The 22,785-nt window shown below is 36.5% G+C and overlaps 1 protein-coding gene across 7 annotated transcripts in view; it reads left to right on the top strand.

Moving 5' to 3' along the window:
- The window catches only part of MKLN1 (muskelin 1), a 386,539-nt gene that overhangs the window by 345,361 nt on the left and 18,393 nt on the right, over nt 1-22,785 (top strand). For 6 of the 7 annotated variants that reach the window (NM_001145354.2, XM_047420401.1, NM_001321316.2 and 3 more), the window contains 4 exons: nt 7,763-7,910; nt 8,840-8,954; nt 10,822-10,961; nt 15,388-15,490. In NM_001145354.2, coding sequence (NP_001138826.1) covers nt 7,763-7,910; nt 8,840-8,954; nt 10,822-10,961; nt 15,388-15,490 — 506 coding nt within the window. Of the gene's footprint in view, nt 1-7,762; nt 7,911-8,839; nt 8,955-10,821; nt 10,962-15,387; nt 15,491-22,785 lie in introns of those variants that run through there. The other variant, XM_011516224.4, reaches the window with a different exon arrangement.

Genomic DNA, 22,785 nt, shown 5'->3' on the forward strand with positions numbered 1-22,785 from the left:
TAACTTCCTAAAACAATTATAAAAATAACGAGTTGGCAGTGATAATTGTTGTATCATTCTTATTTTCTGTTTTTTTCAGATAAATGTTCTTTCAAAATATGTTAATGATTAACGTTTACTGATCTGCTTGATTAATTTTTCTTTGTGAGTCAGTTTCTAAACTGGTTAAGGTTAAAGACTGGTTAAGGTCCTGGCATTTAGTTGAGCTTTTTAGCAGTTGAATCTTAAAGTTTTTAAAATCGTTTATGTTGCAGGTCTTTTGTCCTTCCCTCCTCCCCCGCAAATATACCCATTAGAAACTGTTAAATTGGCCAGGCATGGTGGCTCTTGCCTGTAATCCCAACACTTTGGGAGGCCGAGGCAGGCGAATCACCTGAGGTCAGGAGTTCAAGATCAGCCTGGCCAACATAGTGAAACCCCGGCTGTACTAAAAATAAAAAAGTTAGCCTGGTGTGGTGATGCACGCCTGTTGTCCCACCTACTCAGGAGGCTGAGGCAGGATAATTGCTGGAACTTGGGAGGCAGAGGTTGCAGTGAACTGAATTCACATTATTGCATTCCAGCCTGAGTGACAGAGTGAGACTCTGTCTCCAAACCAAAAAAAAAAGAGAAAAGAAACTGTTAAAAATTGAAAAGATAGCCTTGTTTTCATCTTGCAAAGAAAATCAGTACAGAAAACTATTAATAGTTTTGCCATATTAGAATGAAAGCTGCTTTCTTGGTTTTGACCTTTAGTTTTTTTTGTTTTTTGATAATGCCGTTTTTATTTAACCAGCCTTCATTTTTATTATTATAATTATTATAAAAGTAATGCAGTTCACATGATCAATAAAGCAAAACTCAAATAACATAGAATGCTATAAAATGAAAAGTACTTCTGCCAAAGTAGCAAACTGACACAGGCTGCTGATTCCCTTCCCCAGAATCAACCCAGAGAAATAAAATTGAGAGCAGCTGGATTCCAGAAACTCCTTAAATAAGACTGAAGGCTCACTCTCCCCCAGATTACCCTTCAGTTAATTTTTACCCTTTCACTATAGAAACTAGCAGCGGTAGCCTAGCCCACTAGTGTCAGAATTCGGTGGGCAAACATTATGTCAGTGCAGAAACCCTGCTGGAGTTCAGAGTTGATGAAAACATGTGGACTGACCATCTGTTCTCAATAGTTCATTTCTTCTTCTCTTCTCCCTTTGTCCAGGGAGACTGCCTTCTCCTTCCTCTTTAAACCCTTGCCTGAAGGGTTTAAAGGTACAAAACTGTTGCATAGGGGCGTGATCATATATGGACATGATTCTTGGTTCTTTGTGCTTATGCTTCAGAACCCTATGACTTTTCCTCTCTATTTTCCTTAATCTCTACCAGTTAAGGCCTGGCCTTTGAGTCCTCTCCAATATATCTTACCAGAAAGAAGAGCTGATTCCCTGAAAAACATTACCTTGCATACTGATATAACTAGACAGTTGAGGACTACAACTGTCTCAAAAAAAAAAAATGAGTAAACTTATACATGATGTAAAGCAGAATTATTAAAACAGATGAACGGCCAGGGGTGATGGCTAGTGCCTGTAATCCCAGCACTTTTGGAGGCTGAGGCAGGCAGATAACCTGAGGTCGGGAGTTTGAGACCAGCCTGACCAACATGGAGAAACCCCGTCTCCACTAAAAATACAAAATTAGCCAGGCATGGTGGCACGTGCCTGTAGTCCCAGCTACTCGGGAGGCTGAGACAGGAGAATCGCTTGAACCCGGGAGGCGGAGATTGCAGTCAGCTGAAACTGTGCCATTGCACTCCAGCCTGGGCAACAAGAGCGAAACTCCATCTCAAAAAAAAAAAAAGATGAACCAAGAATTTAAAATAAGCATGATGAATACACTTAAAGATGTAAGAGAACACACTAGTAATATGAAATAAGATCCAAACATTATAAAAACAGAACCATACGGAAATAGTAGATATGAAAAATATAATGAAAATGAAGACTACAACAAATGTAAGTAGGATGGTATGAGTGAATTAATCAGTTGGAAGATTAGCAAGAGCACTCTTCCAGGAAAAAGCGAGGGAAAAAAGATAAAGAAATAGAAAATAGAGTAGAGAAACTAAGAAAGATAGAGAATTGTTGTACAAGTGCCAACATCTTAAAAGGAATTCCAGAAGGAAAGAAAAATAAAAATTTAAGCCCGGGCACGGGGGCTCACACCTGTAATCCCAGCACTTTGGGAGGCCAAGATGGGTGAATCACCTGAGGTCAGGAGTTCAAGACCAGCCTGACCAACATATTGAAATGCTGTCTCTACTAAAAATACAAAAATTAGCCAGGCTTGGCGGCGCATGTCTGTAATCCCAGCTACTTGGGAGGCTGAGGTAGGAGAATTGCTTAAACCCACAGGCGGAGATTGCAGTGAGCTGAGATCGTGCCACTGGACTCCAGCCTGGGCAACAAGAGTGAAACTCCATCTCAAAAAAAAAATGTAGGTGAAATAATTGTAGAAATAATGGAGATACATTTCTTAAAATTCAAAAATGGTGAAAGACTTCAGATTGGCGAAAGAGCTCATAGTGTACCAAATAGAACAAATAAGGGAAAGCGTTATACCTAAGCAGATTAAAGTAGAATTAAGAATAGCAGAGAGAAAATTCTGAAAGATTTCAGAGAGAAAAAGCAGATGACCTGTAAGGGAACAAGAAGATAGACATTTGACAGTTGAACAGCAATGTAGAATGAGAAAAAACGATAAAGTTTAAAAGTAGCCAAGAAAAACAACTTTGAATCAAGAAATTTAAATCTTCCTAACTTTGAGATGTGAGGGTGACATAAAATATTCTCAGGCATATTTGCCTTAGCACATTTGCCGTATAGATACCCACAGTAGAAACCCATTTGGGAGCAGGACTCAATGAAAACTAAATCTAAGAAATGCTAGAAGTATGTGATAAATGATGATCAAAATTTGTTGTTGCCTGAAGAAAAACACTAGGACCAATATTCTAGGTCAAGGAACCATGGCGGAAAGGGAAAATTGGACACTATATAAATTCAGGTATTGTGATTAGAATATAGAGAAGAAACTATTCTATATTATTAACACTAAAATGTCATATACAAGGCTCAAGAGTTAATGGATCTTGATTTTCTTTCTAACTTCCTTTTCCTGTGTCATGTATCAGTGCCACCGTCTCTTATATCTCATGCCATCTTCTTTCTTGGATTCCTTTTTTTGTTTTGTTGGAATATCTCCTTAAAGAAGTTTATATACATATATATATATATGTAGTCATATGTATGAACTTTAAAATTCTCTTATTTTGCCCTCGTTAAGATTGCTAGTTTAACTGGAAATGGAAAGTTAGTTCCATATCTTTTTATACTTCTCAGAATTTTAAAGTTGTTATTCCATTGTATTCTAGCATTCATTGTTACTGATAAGTTGTAGGGCCAAAAGAGTTGTGATACTTTTCCTCAACCCTTTTAAGAGTCATGGTTTGACACTCCTATAATAAAAGACAGGTTAACAAAAGAAAGCATAACAAATTGATTTAATCAAAGTTTTACGTGGCATGTGAGCCTTCAGAAGAAATGACCCAAAGATACGGGGAAAACTGTCCATTTTTTTGCTAAGATTTAATGAAGAATGAACAGCTGGTTAGAAATATGATTGGGTAAAAGGCTATGATTTAATGCAGGTAGACTGAGGTGGGGAAACCCAACAAGGCCCGTCTGTTCAGATTCTTCTTGGCCCCTCTGTGTAGTACTTCTTCCTCCTGGGAATGGGGCAGGACCCTGCTACAGCAAGGGTCTTGTGACCTACTATCAGACAAGGGTAGATCACAGAATTTCTTTATGGCGAGCTCCTAGACAGAAAGGCAGAGGAAAGTTGGATCAGTAATTCTAGTTTTTAGAATTTAAAAGTCTAGGCTGACTTTGGGAAAAAGAGGTTCTAGTTTTTATGACCCACCTTGAGGAAGAGGAATTCTGATTTGATGACTCACTTCTAGGGAGAATGAGGGAAGACAGGCAGGAGGGCAGAAGAAGGTGAGAAAGAACTTGGTTCTGAAGCTGTTCTGAGGCCTTCCAGTGTTCTTTAGTTCAAAGTACTTAGCATGCCAGAGTGTTTGTGTTCTGAGCCCCTGACAAGGTCTAATGTTAGTTTGATTTTTATTCCTCTGTATATAATAATCTGCTGTTTCCTTCTTTGGAAGCTTTTAGAATTTTTCTTTTCTTCGAGTTTTAACATTTCATATTAAGGTGGAGATGTACATCTATATATCTACATGCCATCTTTTTAAAAAAAAAACAACATAGATATATGTGTGCACCATCTTTTTAAATTAAACATGCCTAGCTTGCAGTGGGCTCTCTCAAACAGGACACCCAGTTCAGGGAAACTTTATTTTTTCTTCTACATTATTTCTTCTTTCCTTCTGGTCTTTTTTTCAGATAATTTGGCTTCGATGGGTATATCCTCTGTGTCCTTTAACTTTTCCCTCATAATTTCTATCTTTTTGCTGTTTATTCTGGTGATTTGTCAGTTTTATCTAGAGACCACTGACTTTGTTTCTAACTATGTCTGTAGTTTCATTCTGTCATTTGAATTTTTTGGTCATAGTTTCACTTTTTAGTATCTTTTCATAGTCCCTGCTCCTTTTTATGGCAGCTTATTCTTGTTTTGCACATGAAATATTCTCTTTAATCTCCTCAAGGATACTCATAGGGTTTTTTTTCCCCCAAGTTATGTTCTTTTCTGTGATTTGTCTTTTCCTGGTTGTTCTATTTGTTCATCTAGGTCCCTCTCTTTTACACTGTTAATTTTTTTCCTCCTGTCTATAATTCATGTCTAAACTTTAACATTTATGAATAAAGGACTGTATCAATTAAGAAAGGTAGTTAACAGCAGTTTCTTTTACAGTGTGTAGGTCTCTTTTTCCAGTAGGTTTCTCTCATAAATGAGACACTGATCAAGGTCTTGTATAAGTGCACAGCACATACTGTCAACCAAGCTTTCCTATAGAATGCGTAAGCTGAGAATAGGCACACAAGTTGGGAACATATATGATTAACAAAGTAAAGATTGGGAGTTACTTTAAGCTCTGCTCTCATTCTTATTTACGCCCCTATGTCCTTATTAGAAGCTCTCCACAGAAGCCTTCCTCACAATCTACTTCTTCTCTTTGTATCCGATGACTTATTTGGAAGTTTTTCATCTTTTATCTCTGGTGAGTTACAGGCTCTGGTAATAATTGTAGGTGAAAACAGCCGTAGACAACATGTAAATGAATGGACATTGCCTGATTTGACCCTGAGCAGGGCAGATCAAGCCATAGTTTGCCAAGCCATGTTATAAAATTTTTAATTCAAAGGCTCACTATTAAGACAAAATAGAATAATGAAATTTAAATGCAATAAATTTAGGCAGTTATACCCTTCACTTCTACCACTTACGAAAGTAATTCCAGTTCTTTACTGTTTTTATCTTCCAAAGTTATCTGAGGAGCAGAGGTCAGAACCTGAGCACATCACTTCTGAAAATTTACCATGCCTTATTAAGAAAATACAATTGTCCCTTGGCATCCTTGAGGGACTGGTTCCAGGACCTCTCTTGGATACCAGAATCCTCAGATGCTCAAGTCCGTGATATGGTGTAACCTACGCACATTCCCTCCTATACTTTAAGTCATTTCTAGGTTACTTATAATACCTGATACAATGTAAATAGTTGTTATAAGGAATAATGACAAGAAAAAAAGTCTGTATGTCTTCAATACAGATGCAACCATTTATGGGTTTTGTTTTTTGTTTGCGGTTTTTTTTTTTTAATACTTTAAATTTGTAGTGGTTTGAATCCTTGAACATAGAACCCAGGGATATGGAGGTTCGACTGTACCAGACTTTACATACACTAAAGACTGTGGCATGAGGGTGTAGGCTATTATTAAGATCAGGTTGATATATGTGTGTGTATAAATATAAATATTGTGTATGTATGTATACAAATTGTATGGTGTGTGTGTGTGTGTATAATTTTATAATATAGTTACTGTGAAATGCATTTGGATAGTCTTTAAAATGTCCCAAATTTGTTGAATAAGAATGTAAAAGGACATGAATTTAAGGTAGACTAGGAAAAAATAAATACTGGATTATTTGGTCCCACTAAAGTAGATAAAGAAGACCAAGATCAATATGGCTGGCATCTCCTGCAATACATAGTATTCTAGGTTGACGTAAATATTTCACTTCAATCTGATATTTGTTTAGCTTTTTGAGCACATGATAATTGTTCATGGGTAAAAGAAATGTTAAAACAATGACATTGTTTTAGATCATGACAATTATGTTGTGAAGTAGCTGAGTTCATAATATGCACTTTATGTATATGAAATTATATTTCAAACATTTTCAAATAAGAATAAGAAAATTTGTCATTTGCCATATCAGTGTTTTACAGATTATTGGGTAATGCAAAGTGATCATCATTTATTTAATAGATTTCTTATAAAAATACAGCATTATTAACTTTGGGGAGTTTAAGCCACTCAAGGAAACAAAATGGCATATTATACCCCAGAATTTTTATTTATTTATTTATTTGCTTTAGAGACAGAGTCTTACTCTGTCACTCAGGCTGAAGTACAATGGCATGATAATAGCTCATGGCAGTTTCCAACTCTGGGCTCAAGGGATCCTCCCACCTCAGCCTCCCAGATAGCTAGAACTACATGTGCACACCACCACACTTGGCTGATTTTTAGTTTTCATAGAGACAGGGTCTCACTATGTTGCCCAGGCTGGTCTTGAGGTCATGGCCTCATATGATCCTCCCACCTTGACCTCCCAAAGCACTGATATTACATGCACGAGCCACTGCACCTGGCCCAGAATATTAAATTTTATTTTTGGAAGTTATTATATGTGATGAACAGATATTTTAAATGACTCTGACCTTATTAAGCAACGCTGCGTTTTACCTTTTATCAAATTTTTTTTCCCAGGTCAAGATTTGAATATTTAATCTCTACTATCAAATTAGAACTGTCCCAGATAATAAATCAGTTAATTAAAGCATTATCCTTTCCTTCCTTATGTAAAAATGATTATATTGCATACCTCTTTCTGCTTCTTTTTTCCCTGTAGCTGGCAATTGACATTTCCTTTAGTCTTTCCACAAATCATTTAGTAATTGTTATATTCAGGCACTATTCTAGACACTGGGAACAAAATAGTGAACAAAACAGCCTCTTTCCTTGTGGAGCTCATAGAGTAAGGAGAAGGCAATATATAATTGTTTATTGTTTAGTTAAAAAGTTATGTAGTGTGTTAGAAGTTAAGTATGTGGACACATAAAGCAGAATAAAGGTGTATTGATCTTTTCAAGAGAAACTAGTAGGGGCTGGATGTGGTGGCTCACCTGTAACACCAGCACTTTGGGAAGATGAGGCAGGAATATTGCTTAAGGCCAGGAGTTTGAGACCAGCCTGGGCAACATAGCAAGACCCCATCTCTACAAAAAATAAAAAAATTAGCTGAGTGTGGTGGTGCATGCTTGTAGTCCCAGCTACTTGGGAGGCTGGGGCAGGAGGATCCTTTGAGCCCAGGAGTTCTAGGCTGCAGTGAGTCATGGTTGTGCCTCACTGCACTTCAGCTTGGGCAACAGAGTGAAATGCTGTTCTTTAAAAAAAGAAAGAAAAGAAAGGAAGGAAGGAAGGAAATACTAATCTATCTAATGTGAATATTTTCATCTTATTTTTTTCTTTAATTTGTAGTTCCAATGACAGGATTTACACAGAGAGCAACTATTGATCCAGAACTGAATGAAATACACGTCTTATCTGGACTCAGCAAAGATAAGGAAAAGAGGGAAGAAAATGTTAGAAATTCATTCTGGATTTATGACATTGTGAGGAATAGTTGGTAAGGAACTCTTGTCTCTGCTGCAATCCCAATGTAATAATTATTTGAGGTTGTTGGTTTATTCAAAAAAGAGAGAAATGAGAGTATTACGTTAATTTGTGACATTGTATATTTAAAAGTCAGTATTGGAAAAAAATCAATATCGGTACCTATGTATACAATGATGTTCAGTGAATGGATTTTACCTCTGTGTTTTTCAAGTAGTAGATGGTTCCTGGCCTGGGACTCAAGAGAATTGTATTTTAGTCTAGGTTCCGTTCTCAAGTAGATGTGTGAACTTGAGAACAGTGCTGTTTCTTTAATGTTCCCAGATCTTAGTTTTCATAAAACGAAGAGGCTTGACTATAGCAAGGAGGGGACAGTATTACTTAGCATTTCCAAACCATGACTTTTGTGTCATAGAGCATCCCACAGAACTGGTGCTGCACATTTTGCTTTGGGAAAACATGGATCCAGCTCTGACATTCTGTGATTGCTCCATAAGTGAATATTGTGCAGAACAGAAGCACTTCAGAGAGCTTCTCCATTCATAATGGGGAATAGTGCTCTGCAGCTAAGGAATTTATTATTTTCTAAATAGGACATTTATTTACAGTCAAATGACAGCAATGTATACTGTACATTTTTATTGTGCATACATAGACAAGATAGCATCTCTTTCAGTCTTTAGTTTGAGCTTTCATGTATGCTGTTTGTATTTCATAACAAAAAGTAGGATATGTGAGCTATTTACTGGACATCAAAAGAACTTTAGAACTCAGTTCTAACAAATTCCGATTGTTTTATGAATAACTAGAACTTTAAGATACGATGTGAACGCATTTCTAAAATTTTTTGTTAGTAATTAGACATGCAGTTAATTTGCTTGCTACAGTTGTATTATCTTTGCTGCTAATTCTCTAGAATGCCTTAAAAGCAATGTCTTGCAGGTCTTGTGTCTATAAGAATGATCAAGCTGCAAAGGATAATCCAACTAAAAGTCTTCAGGAAGAAGAACCATGTCCAAGGTTTGCCCATCAGCTTGTATACGATGAGCTACACAAGGTATCCTAACTACATTGACCTGTAAACTTTCCATGGCCTACTATCTGAAACAATCCCCAAATATATCTTTGATTGTTTTAAATTGGATTTGAGTAAAAAGTTAAAATACATAGTAGACATTCAATAGAATAACAAACACCCAATATCACTTCTCCCTAAAATTCCTTAAGAGAATAAGCATTTTTACGTAGTCTGTAATTCTTGGTACTTTTCCTTTTTTGAAAATAGTCAGTGGCAGCTTCTTAGCTGTATAGATCTAGATACATGACATAGCCTATTGTTTCTACAATGTGACTATCCAAGTAAAATATGTACAGTTGTCAGCATTTAGGTACCTTGTTCCGTGATATAACATGGTTTTTGGTTTTAGATTTTCCTATTGTGTGCGAAGTCTTTTTAATCTTAATTTTCCTGATATACTAGTGATACCTCTTTTAAATCAGCCTTGTGAAATGGTCCTCTGTTGTGAATTTTTAGTGTCATAGTGTTGAGAGTTCTTTCTTTATTTCTGTCTTAAACTTAACCATGTACTTAAGTGATTGGACTTAGATTACATAGTAAATTACTGACAGAGACCAATTCTTTCTGTTAAGCCATGGATGATTTATTTAAATTCTACGCAATACACTTTGAGACCTTTAGGTAAAAGATAACATGGGAGTGAGTAAAAGCCCTTTCTTTTATAACCTCTCAATTTAAGGAGTAAATGAATTTCCATCCATAGGATAGAGATAATAACTATTATATAACACCAATGAATATAAATGTTTTTAAAATTTTAGGAAATATTTAAATTTAAATTTAATAAATGTATACACTAATTGTAATTAAAATATTTAAATATTTAAATGCTTTTGTATACATACAGAAAAACATTCAAGTGCAATAAATTTAGGCAGTTATACCTCTCACTTCTACCACTTACGAAAGTGATTGCGTTTCTTCACTGTTTTGTCTTCCAAAGTTATCTGAGGAACAGATAATTGATTAATGTAATAGTGAAATCATTATAAATTCCTTTTGCATTTCATTTTTGGTATTGAATTATGGAATAATGTTTTTAATGTTATTTCACAAATTATATGTGCCATTTAATATTTGGCATTTCAGTTAAAGCAAAATTAAGATGTTAAAATTTTTTTTTTTTTGAGACGGAGTCTCGGTCTGTTGCCCAGGCTGGAGTACAGTGGCGCAATCTCTGCTCACTGCAAGCTCTGCCCCCTGGGTTCACATCATTCTCCTGCCTCAGCCTCCCAGGTAGCTGGGACTACAGGCGCCCGCCACCACGCCCGGCTAATTTTTTTGTATTTTTAGTAGAGACGGGGTTTCACAGTGTTCGCCAGGATGGTCTCAATCTCCTGACCTCATGATCCGCCTGCCTCGGCCTCCCAAAGTGCTGGGATTACAGGCGTGAGCCACCGCGCCTGGCCTAAAATTTTTTTAAAGTTTCTAGTTGACCTGTTGACTGTTAACTTTTAGTGATTCAGCATTTATGTCAGAATTTTTAAGATATTTGTTATATGATCAATATTGTGATTAATTTTATCCCCATTATTTGTTGTCCTCAGCAAATAATATCTTGGATTAACTTCTTCCTATCATTGTTTTTGTTTCATACCTTCCACTGTCATTGTAGTTATGGTAATATAACTCACTTTGGCATATGTGCAGTTTTTTAAAGTAGCCATGGTGCTTTAAAGCAAAATAGAAATGAGAAAAATCAAGAGAAGCTTTTGGTAAAAATGCAGTATAATTTTTAATTTTTTTATTTGAATGGGCTCAGGAAGTTAACCTGTTATGCACTGCTACTAGAATATCTTGGGTATGCATGCATTTTTAAAAATCTGGCTTATTTTGCTTATTATAGGTTCATTACTTATTTGGTGGGAATCCAGGAAAATCTTGCTCTCCAAAGATGAGATTAGATGACTTCTGGTCACTGAAGTTGTGTAGACCTTCAAAAGATTATTTACTGAGGCATTGCAAGTACCTCATAAGAAAACACAGGTATGAAAATAATTCACTGAAAACATTTAATTAACATTATCAGCTATATTTCTCTTGGCAAATTTAATAATGAGACAGTGTAAATACTATGAAGATCATGAATTTTGTAAATGCCCTGTTATTCCACTTATTTTTGCTTTCGTTTTTCAAAAGAAGATACAAAATACAGATATTGATGCTAAAAATTTATAAATACAGAACAAGTGAAATTTTGCAGCTGTTAAAAAAATGGAAAATAATTTCTGTGAAGGTGACATGCCTACATTGAAGTAACTAAAAGCTAACTACAAATTAGATCAGTTCTAACTTAATGACACGTGCCTGAGCTTTTGATAACTCTCTTAACTGTGAATGTAGTGATATAGTTGACTATACCATATCTTCCTAATTTGATGTGTCACAATACAATTTCAAAGCTTGTAGTTTTATGTCACCTTTATTATTAAATTGCAAAATCATTTAATCAAACATTTTCATATATATACATATACACACACACACACACACACGCGCGCGCGCGCACACACGCACGCAGGCACCCTGAGTCATGTTTGATTTTTAGCCTAGAAGGTAATAAACTACTAAAAAATGCAGAAAAGGATTTCTCTCCTTTTGGTTACTGTAGTGTTATATGGTAATAAAAATTTGCTTTAGGGCCAGGTGCAGTGGCTCATGCTTATAATCCCAGCACTTTGGGAGGCAGAAGTAAGAGGATTGCCTGAGGCCAGGATTTCAAGACCAGACTGTCAATTACTTTATGCTAGACCCTGTATATTATTCTGTGACAGAGCCAGGATTTGAGCCTGAGCGTTCTGACTCCAGAGTTCACCGCTTAACCCTCATATATACATACGTATCAATGAAGAAAATGAACAAAAATCTGCCCTCAAGTGTCCGTTCTTAAGAAGGGAGACTAACAATAAACATAATAAGGAATTTATATTACATGTTAGATGGTAAGTACAATGAAAAGAAACAGATTGAGTTATTGTTTGTACAGGTGAGGGGGGTGGGAATATAGTTTTAAATGAGAATATCAGGATAGACTGCACAGTGAAGATGGCATTTGAATAGAAACTTAAGGGACAAAAGGGACTGAATCATATAGCTGTCTGGTGGGGTGGGGAGTGTTCTAGATAGGTAATAGTCAAGGCTCTGAAGTTAAAAAGATGCCTGAATAATTTGAGAAGTGAATTGAGAAGAAGTGTGGTGGAAGTAGAATGAGTGAGTTGATTGTGGTAGGAAATGAGGTTGAAAGGACTAGGAAAGGGACAGCTTGTAAAGGGCCGTCAGCTTTTACTCTTAGGGGAGATTGAAAGATTTTAAGTAGAGGAGTAACACATTCAGGCTTGTATTTTATAAAAATCATTCTGCATGTTCTTCCCGAAGAACTGGGTAAAACTCGTGGCTGCTTTCCCTCAGGTGGGGAATTCTTCAGAAACAACGGGTTTATGTGTTGGAAAAGATTAGTTCAATTTGGGGCACTTTAGGTTTGAGAAGTCTGTGAGAGATGCAGGCGGAGACCATCTGAACATTTGGTGAAAAGACTTGGCCTGACATTACAGTTGTGAGTCATGGGAGAAGGAGCTTGCTCAGGGTGAGCAAGAAGAGTGAAGGGTTGCTGGGTATTCTCTGAGGACCACCACCATTTGAGGGACAGGCAGAGGAAGAGACACTCCACAAGAGATCAAGAAGGCATCTTAACATTCCGGATAAACTTTGAAGATTGTGCCAACAGAATTTCTTGATGGATTTGATATGGGTATGAGAGAAAGAAAGCAGTCGAGGATGACTCTTAGGGCATCTTGAAAATCTTGTCAACTACTAATTCAGACAATAAAAGGCTTATTTTAGACCTTTTTCTCTACCAAGCTGTTAGATAAATTCAAGAATTTGAGGGACATCGCTACATTATAGACAGAATAGAAGAAGTTTGTGTCTATGAATTGGGTAGAACACAGAAATTGCCTTTTTAATTCAAATGTTAAGCAGATTTATTTTTTTATAATACGGGAGCTTGTACTACACTGTTAGACTGGCTTATTTTTGTTTTGTTCGTAATGGAAAATAAATATTCTGTTTAGTTAGAATATAAATTTAGAAGGAGGGAAAGAAGTATATTGTGTGCCAAGTAGGTACCTCCTTGTTTCTTACTGATGTCACTTGATATAATAAATAAAATACCACTATTATTTTTTCATACGACATTCAGGTTTCCAAACTTGATGATTTGAGGGTAGAAATGGGCAAAAAAAATTGTTATAGGATTAATTTCTGTTAATTTAGGAACAGGGCAGAACTGTTGATTAAAATACGATTCTAGGCTGCAGACACAAGTCTGTGATAAGTTCTTGCTGGCCAAAAATAGCTTAGAAAATGAAGATGGAGAACATAACTTTCAGGACACTGATCTCTTTACTGGATATAGGACTGTGGGTGTGTGTTGGTTAGGTTATTTCAGGTTGTAAAGGATAATAACATGCTTTGGATACCTCAGCTGAAAAAGAATTTATTATTAGATTATTCAGGGAATTAAGGCACCTTCTCAGCATTTGAACGGTGAAACTGGATGGAGAATTGTTTAGGATACTGGAACAATTCTAGTAGCCAGGTGCTACTGTAGCTTTTCCTTGTACCTCTGTCTGCTTCTTTCTCCATCTGCTTGTCCTGTCCTACTGACTACTGCTGACTTTCTCCCAACCTTGTGGCCTAGATAGATAGATAGATTGATTAGATAGATGCATAGATAGATAGGTAGATAGATAGATAGAGGCATAGAAAGATAGATGGATGGATGGATGGATGGATGGCCGGCCGGCCAGACGGACGGACGGACAGACAGAATCTGCCATCTCATGGCTTCTGTTTACTGCCTTCTCTATTTCTGTCTGCTCTTTACATGTCCTTATGTGTCTCACATTCAGATTATCAAAGAGAAAGAATCTTCTTAGAAAGCATTTCCTGGGGAGAGTGTCCCTATTAGGAAGAATTCTGCCAAACTACTTTATAAACTGCTAATCAAAGCGTGGGTGCCAAAACCTTGGTCTAATCTAATCTGTTGTGGACAAGATGGTAAAGTAACATGGTCTTTACCTAAAGGACTCTCATCTGAAGGCTGTAAGCCTGGCTGTCACTCTTAGGGTACTGCCTGGTACAAGAGAGCTGTAATATTTTGCTAGTCTTTGTCCCTGCGTGAAGTACAGAAACCCTGTCACCAAGGATGCCATCAACCTGAACACCATCGTGAAAGGCTCTTCATCATCTTTCCTACTCAAAGAAAATTCATCTTTTCCTTGTCTGTATATTTTGAAAAGTATACCAACGTATTAGAAATAAACCTGTATGTAATTATGGTATAACAGAGACGTTATCTTTTTCAAATAGATATATAGATATAGATACTTATAGATTTTTGTTGTTGTTTAGGAGAACTCATCCAGATTCATTCTCTGCACCTCAGTTTTGCTTTTTTTTTTTTGAGACAGGATCTCGTTCTGTCATCCAGGCTGGAGTGCAGTGGTACAATCATGGCTCACTACACCCTTGACCTCCCAGGCTCAAGCAGTCCTCCCACCTTAGACTCTCGAGTAGCTGGGACTGTAGGCATGTGCCACCGCACCTGGCTAATTTTTGTAGAGATGGGGTTTTGCCATGTTGGCCAAGCTGGTTTCAAACTCCTGGACTCAAGCAGTCCACCCACCTTGACTTCCCAAAGTGTTGGGATTACAGGCATGAGCCACAGCACCCTGTTTTTTTGTTTTTTTTGTGTGATAAACGATGATAAAATAGATCATCATCATTGCATTATTGTGAGAATAGATGAAGTGATACATGTAAAATACTTGATACAATGTCTAGCATATTACAAATGCTTGATAAGTGGTTGCTGCAGTTGTTTTTACTGACTGAGACATGGACATAATCTCATTAAAAGTAATCAGTGTTAATGATATTCATTTAAAAATACCCTGCTTATTTCAGTTTCCAAGGTATCTGTTAAGCATCTCCATTAGAAAATACACAAATCTAAGCAAGTGTTTTTATTTTTATGTCTACTTGTTTTGGATGAAACACATTGGGATTTTCTGAAGTTCTGTTTTATAAAATACGTAGTATATTCACTTTGTTTGGTAGTTGGTTTAGTGCTACCTTGTAGTTTTAAGAGAAGATAGGAAATGCTCCTACCCAGTCTCTAGCACCACAGCTGCCTGTGACCACCTGGCATTACCATTACATTTCCAAGAACTCCACAACTACACTATCTACCTGGCAGTATTGTTAATTCTGGATTCCTAAACTGACATTTTCTAAATATCCAGAACAACTCCTCATACTCAGTATAACAGTGTATTTTATTCCAGGTCTGAAAGACATTTCTGATATTTTCTCATAACTCCAGATAATTATCCTTGTGTACATTTTCTAGGTTTGAAGAAAAGGCCCAAGTGGATCCCCTTAGTGCTCTGAAATATTTACAAAATGATCTTTATATAACTGTGGATCATTCAGACCCAGAAGAGACAAAAGAGGTAAAGAAAGGTGGTAATAAATTTCAGAAATTAAGTATTTTTAAATGTCTTCCTAACTTATATTTAATGATTTTGCTCTTGAGTGTGTAAAGGAAAACGAAGAAAATATGATGACATCAGTAATCTTTAAAATGTCACAGAGCAGGTGAAATAAAAATTGAATAGGCATGTTTTCGTGTGATAAGATTCAAGTCACCAAAAACCCTTGGTCCATTCAGAAAAGGATTATCAGGTATAAAGTTTTAACTTAGTTTTGTGTTTTGGAAAGCAAATAGAAATTTTTACTTTGTCCATAGTCCCATGATTATTTTACTTAAGGATTACATAATGGTTCAATATAAACTTTTCTGTGGATAGTTAAGATCCCCCAAGAGAGGAAAGAAAACTCCCCTGTTGCTTAGGGAGAAAATGAAGAGAGGTTGGTGGGAGTTAGAATCCTTGGTGCCTTAATATTTAGTTATGTGAATGTTGTAGCAGTATTGTTTGTCTATAGGCTACTAATTTCATTCATCACTAGTTGCTAAGATTGAGAAATCAGTTAGCCAATCATTACTTTTCAGTTTTTTGTTACATAACATTGGGATAGAAACAACTGTTTCTGAAGATTTCATATCCTTAAGGACATGTTTGCTTATCCATGGTGTGTGAAAATGCCTGCAATGATTTTTGTGTTTTTGTCATTTTTTCCTTTTCCAGGCATCCTTGTTCATCTAGCAATATCTGAACTGCAGTGCATTTGCCTTCCACTCACAGAATTCGTGCTGATTATATGTAGTTCTGACCCTTAGGTCTCTTTCCGTGTTAGCTCCTGCCTTGCTTTGGCTTTGTAATAGCAGTATCAAGCTGTGCCCGGCATGCTTGAGCATTGACACAGGTGTCAGATTTAATGTTGAATCACTTTCAGGCTCCAGGTTCATTGTACTTTCAAGCAATAGAGGCTGCATGTCTTCAGCACCATAACAAAGAGATACTCTTTCATAGTTTCGTACTATAAAATTAAGTCCTAAGTCTCTCAATATTGATTATGGCCCTTCAGTAGGTAGAGAATCTGCAGGACATGCTTTAGAACCCCCATGAAGGGGGACAGTTAATTGTCTTTCCTTGAGTTTTCAGTCAATTCATGACACTGTGCAAATAGGAGAAATAATTATAGTTTTGCCAAGTGGCAGAATATGTTTGATTTAATCTTTTATGACTTATAACTGTACTTAGTTGTGAAGAGTCCATTAATGTTAATTTTGTTATGCCATGCATTTGAGAGTTATGCATAGATTTCCTTGTATTTTCTCCATATTCTATGTAAAATAGCTGTAACTGGGAACAATCATTTTTTCCTTATTTTTGAAGCCAAAACAAAATATTTCAAAGTAAATAATTTCAGCTGTGTGAGCTGCAAGTAGGCCAAAGAAAACAAGACAGTTTGTTCTTAAAGTTAAACTAATGGGGAAAAAAAACAGGACAGGGAGGTATCTCAAGTTCATTTGAGCCATTTTTAAAATTTTGGTAGCTGGTTTCTGTTTTTCTTCTTTTTAAAATAGTAACAACTTAGGATTTTGTGTGCCACCAGCTTCCATTCCATTTCATAAAAGCTTAATCTAGCAAGAATTGGTGAGCCCTAGTAGAAGTTAGAAAGAAATGTTGAAGTGTGTATGTGTGTGTGTGTGTGTGTGTGTGTGTGTGTTGGCATCAGAATCACCTTGGACACTTTTTAAAACAATGCCCTTGGCTGGGCGCGGTGGCTCACGCCTGTAATCCCAGCACTTTGGGAGGCCGAGGCGGGCGGATCACGAGGTCAGGAGATCGAGACCATCCTGGCTAATGCGATGAAACCCCGTCTCTACTAAAAATACAAAAAAATTAGCCAGGCTTGGTAGTGGGCTCCTGTAGTCCCAGCTACTGGGGAGGCTGAGGTAGAATTGCATGAACCCGGGATGCGGAGCTTGCAGTGAGCTGAGATCGTGCCACTGCACTGCAGCCTGGGCGACAGAGCAAGATTCCATCTCAAAAAAAAAAAAAAAAAAGAAAAAAAAACACCATGCCCTCACCCTAAGGTTCTCCTCTGTCTGCTCTTAAAGAACAGAAAATAGAAAACATTCCTGACATTGAGAATTACTGGTCCATAGTATTAATATTTTGTTTTAAAATTTGTGAACATATTTAACTTTTAAAATGTTTTATATCCAACAGTCTGTTTGGGGGGAAGAAATCCTCTGGTAACAGTTCACATGTATACTCACGATATTTGTCAGTGAGACATGTAGATCTCATTGTAGGAAATCATTCCACTCATTGAGAAGGGGCTTACTGTTCTTCATTTTCTATAGTAACTTGTTTTTGTTCTGTTTATATGTTTTACAGACATTTAATGTTATTAAATGACTTTCTCATTTAAGTCTCAAAACACAAAAAGTGTTTTTTAGATTTTTTTTTTCACAGTTGTTATGATCATCATCATTGTGCCTGTTGTCAGGACATTGACAGCTGACTATCAACTATATAACAAAAAAATGTTATTGGCTTCCTCCAGTCTTCAGAACATGGGTTCTGAATTGGTGATGAACTTACAATAAATCTTATAAAAAATGATATTTTTTTCTAGAAAAGCCATGAGAAAAGGATGCCTAATCAATTATACCACTTTCAGAGAAGACTTCTATAATAGAGAAGGAATGAGAATAAGTTTTCAGCTACAATAACACATTTTATATTCATTACACTTCTGCGGAGTTTCCAGAGTGCTGGTGTCATTCATTTAACAGTTGTGTATCGATTCCCCATAATAGGTCAGGCATTCTAGGCAGAGGAGCTGTATCAGCAAACCCAACAAGATCCCTGCCCAGGAGGTACTTACATTTTAGTGGAGAAAGACAATAAACATTAAAGAAGCAAATTATATAGTACATTAGAATTGAATAAGTACTGGGCCGGGCACAGTGGTTCACGCCTGTAATCCCCGCACTTCAGGAGGCTGAGGTGGGTGGATCACCTGAGGTCAGGAGTTCAAGACCAGCCTGGCCAACATGGTAAAACTCCGTCTCTACTAAAAATACAAAAAATTGGCCGGGCATGGTGGGAGGCGCCTGTAATCCCAGCTGATCGGGAGGTTGAGGCAGGAGAATCTCTTGAACCCGGGAGGTGGAGGTTGCAGTGAGCTGAGATTGTGCCACAGCACTCCAGCCTGGGCAACAAGGAGTTACTGTAGCTCAGCCCAAAGTAATAGTAGAGCAGTGAGAAGTAAAATAGAGCAGATTCTTAATATATTTTAAAGATAGAACCAACAGAATTTTATGATAGATTAGATCTAGTGTTTGAAAGAAACGACTCAAAGGTTTTGGCCTGAAAAACTGGAAGGATGGAGTTACTATCAACTGAAGTGAGAAAGTTCTGTGGGGAACTGGTTTGTGGGGACTCCTGACTGGCATTCAGGAGTTTAAATTTGGAAATGTTCAGTTTGAGATATCTATGAGACAGCCAACTTAAGATGTTGAGGTGACTGTTGGATATTTGAATCCAGAGTTTGGGAAAGAGGTCTGTAATATCCCTTGGTATGTGTTAAAATCCTTAGGCCAGTACATACAGTTCACTTATTTAATCAGATTGTTAAGATAATAGTTTTCTCCTTATCCTATATGTAGAGCCAATACAATTTATTTTTCACCTTAGGAGTTAGAAAAGAGGAACAAATTCAACCCCAAATAAGTAGGAAATAAGAAATTCATGAAATAGGAAACAAACAATGGAGAAATTTTAAAAGTGAAAAGTTGGCCTTTTGAAAAGGTAAATAAATTGATAAACCCCAAGCAAGACTTACCAAGTGTATTAGCCTGTTCTCACACTGTTGTAAAGAACTACCTGAGACTGGGTAATTTATGAAGAAAAGAGATTTAATTGACTCACAGGCCCACAGGCTTAACAGGAAGCATGACTGGGAGTCCTCAGTAAACTTACAGTCATGGCAGAAGGTGAAGGGCAAGCAAGCACCTTTTTCACATGATGGCAGGAGAGAGAGTGACAATGAGGGGGGAAATGCCACACATGTTTAAACCATCAGATCTCATGAGAACTCACTATCACAAGAACAGCAAGGGGGAAATTGGCCCCTGTGATCCAATGGTCCCCCACCAAACCCCTCCCCCAATTCAACATGAGATTTGGGCAAGGATGCAAATCCAAACTATATCACCAAGAAAAAAAGTGAAAACATAAATTATCCACATCACAAATGAAAAGAGGGCATCAGTTTAGACCCTACATATATTAAAAGTAAAGTGGGTATGGAAAACTTCATTGACAAGCCGCAACTTGATGAAATTGACAAATACTTTAAAAGACACAGTTTACCAAAACTGACACAAGAAGAAATAGAAAATCTTAAGGAACTCCATATCTACTACAGAGATTGAATTTGTAATAAAAAATTTTCTAACAAAAAAAACTCTAGGCCCATAATAGCAGTAAATTTTATCAACCATTCAAAGAAGGAAGAAAAAAATACAATTTTACATAGACTCTCAGAAATTAGAGGAAGGCAATACTTCTTAAATCCTTTTATAAGCCAGGTTAACTTTGATATAAAATCCCAACAGAAGCTGGGCGTGGTGGCTCACGCTTGTAATCACAGCATTTTGGGAGGCTGAGGGGTGGATCGCCTGAGCCCATGAGTTTGAGACCAGCTTGGGCAACATAGCAAAAACCTGTCTCTACAAAAACATGCAAAAAATTAGCTGGGTGGTGCCATGCCTGTAGTCCCAGCTCCTCTGGAGGCTGAGGTGGGAGGATCACCTGAGTTCAGAGAGGTTGAGGCTGCAGTGAGCTGTGATCATACCACTGCACGCTGAACCTTGGTGACAGAGTGGGATCCTATCTCAGAATAAATTAGAATAAAATAAAATCCCAAGAGAGACGTTACAAGCAAAGAAAATCATGGACCAATATTTTTCATGAACATAAATGTAAAATTCTTAGGAAAATTTTAGTTAATTAGGAATATATTAAAAGGTTAGTGTACTATGACTAAGTGGTGGTTTATTCTAGGAATATATGGCTAGTTTAACATTTGAAAAAAAATTCAGTGTAATTCACCATGTTAACAGAATGAAGGAGGAAAACCATAGATCATCTTAGTAAGTGAAGAAAAGCATCTAAGAAAATTCAGACTCATTCATAATAAAAATTCTTAGCAAACTAGGAATAAAAAGAAACTTCTTGAATCTAAATTCCTAAAGGACACCTGTGAAAAACATACAGCTAGGGCTATTCTTAAACATTTAACCCTTTTCCCTAAGATTGTGACAAGGAAATAATGTATATTATTAGCCCCTCTATTCAACATTCTACCAGAATTACACTAGCTAGTGTAATAAAGAAAAAGCAATAAAAAACATATAGATTGGATAGGAGAAAGTAAATTTGTTTGCATTTGTAGGTAACATGATTATGTACATTCGAAACCCCATGGTGTCTACAAAACAATATACTAGGACAAGTGAATTTAGCAAGATTACAAAAATACAAGGTCAATAGAAAAAAAAAGCAATTATTAGCAATTTTTATACTAGCAGTGAACAATTAGAAAATGAAAAGCATAGTTTATATTAGCATCAGACATATCAAATGGGTAGAATGAGTCTGTTGTAAGAAATTAAAGAAGACCTTGATAAATGGAGAGATATATTTATGGATTGAAACACTAAAAATTGTTTAAAGCTGCCCATTTTCCCCAAATTGGCCTTTATTTTAATGCAGTGTAAGTTTGGTCTTTGTTGTTGTTGTCATTGAGGAAATAGACAAACTACTATAAAATTTACATGGAAATGCAAAGGTTTTAGACTAGCCAAAACAATTTTGAAAAAAGAAAAAATTGGAAGCTTTATGCTATCTGATTTCAGGACTCTGTATAAAGCCACAATAATCAAGACAGTGTGGTACTGGCTTAAGGATAGACAAATGGATCAGTACAACAGAATAGAGTCCAGAAGTAGACCCATACGTATGTGGTCAGTTGTTTTTTGACCAGGGTACCAAGTCCAACGGGGAAAAGAAAGTTTTTAACAAATGATACTGAATAACTGGATATCTCAAACCTTTCTCACTGTTTACTGAAACATTAATTTAAGATTGATTACAGGTCTAAATATAAAATCCAAAAGAATAAGGCTTTGGGAAGAAAACATAGGAGATTATCTTCACAACATTGGGATAGGTAAAGATTTCTTGGACATGAACTAAAGGCAGTAATCATCGAAGAAAAATATGGATAAATTGGACTTCAAAAAAGTTAAAATTTCTGCTCATTAAAGGACTTTTAAAAACATAGACATTGCCAGGTTCAGTGGCTCACACCAGTAATCCCAGCATTTTAGGAGGCCTAGGAGGAAGGATTGCTTGATACCAGGAGTTTGAGACCAGCCTGGGCAACATGTGAGACCTCGTCTCTACCAAAAAAAAAAAAAAGTCAAAAAATGAGGCAGGAGGATTGCTTGAGTCCAAGAGGTTGAGGCTGCAGTGAGCCATGATCACGCCACTGCACTCCCACCTTGGTGACAGAGCGAGACCCTGCCTCAAAAAATAAATAAATAGACAAGCCACATACTAAACAATCTTTGCAGTAGATATATCTGACAGAGGACTGATACCCAGAATGTATAAAGAACTTCTATACATTTTTAAATTTTTCTTTTTATCCCCCCTTTTCATAACTCTTGCTTAGATAAATACCTATGGAATATTTGTACAATTTCTGATCTTCAAAGGACCATTAATCAGGGCTTACAAATGTTGGTATGATTTAATATCTGAAATGTTAAAGGCTGCAAGCATAGATGTGAAATATATCCTGAGGACTTGGTGATACTAACTGCTCAAGTCTTGGGAAGTGCCAAGTAACTCCATTGAGGAGTTTGTCTGCTCTAATTCATTCCTTTAACTGGTCTCTTTTCCTGCATTCTCATTCAAGATAAATACAAATAGTTCTCCAGATTTTTTATTTTGTGCCTATTTGTTAAATTGCTAATGTTGCAATAGTTTTGTCTTACTCTGTTTCTTCATTGTTCAATTACATTGTCTGTTTTAAACTAACTTTAACTGACAGCCTGGAAATCTAAGCAACATTTACAACATTATGTCCATTAAAAAAGGTCTTTGGGTTTTAACAATATAATTATATATAATTGTGGAATCTCAATCTAAGTTGTAATTTAGGAATGGTCTATACATGCTTTTTTTCTCAGATTTTGATTTACACAGCTGAGACATCAGGTATTTTACAGTGGCTTACGTTTATTTTTGAGATGAGA

This window comes from Homo sapiens, chromosome 7 (genome assembly GCF_000001405.40).
Source record: "Homo sapiens chromosome 7, GRCh38.p14 Primary Assembly".
Taxonomy (NCBI): Eukaryota; Metazoa; Chordata; class Mammalia; order Primates; family Hominidae; genus Homo; species Homo sapiens.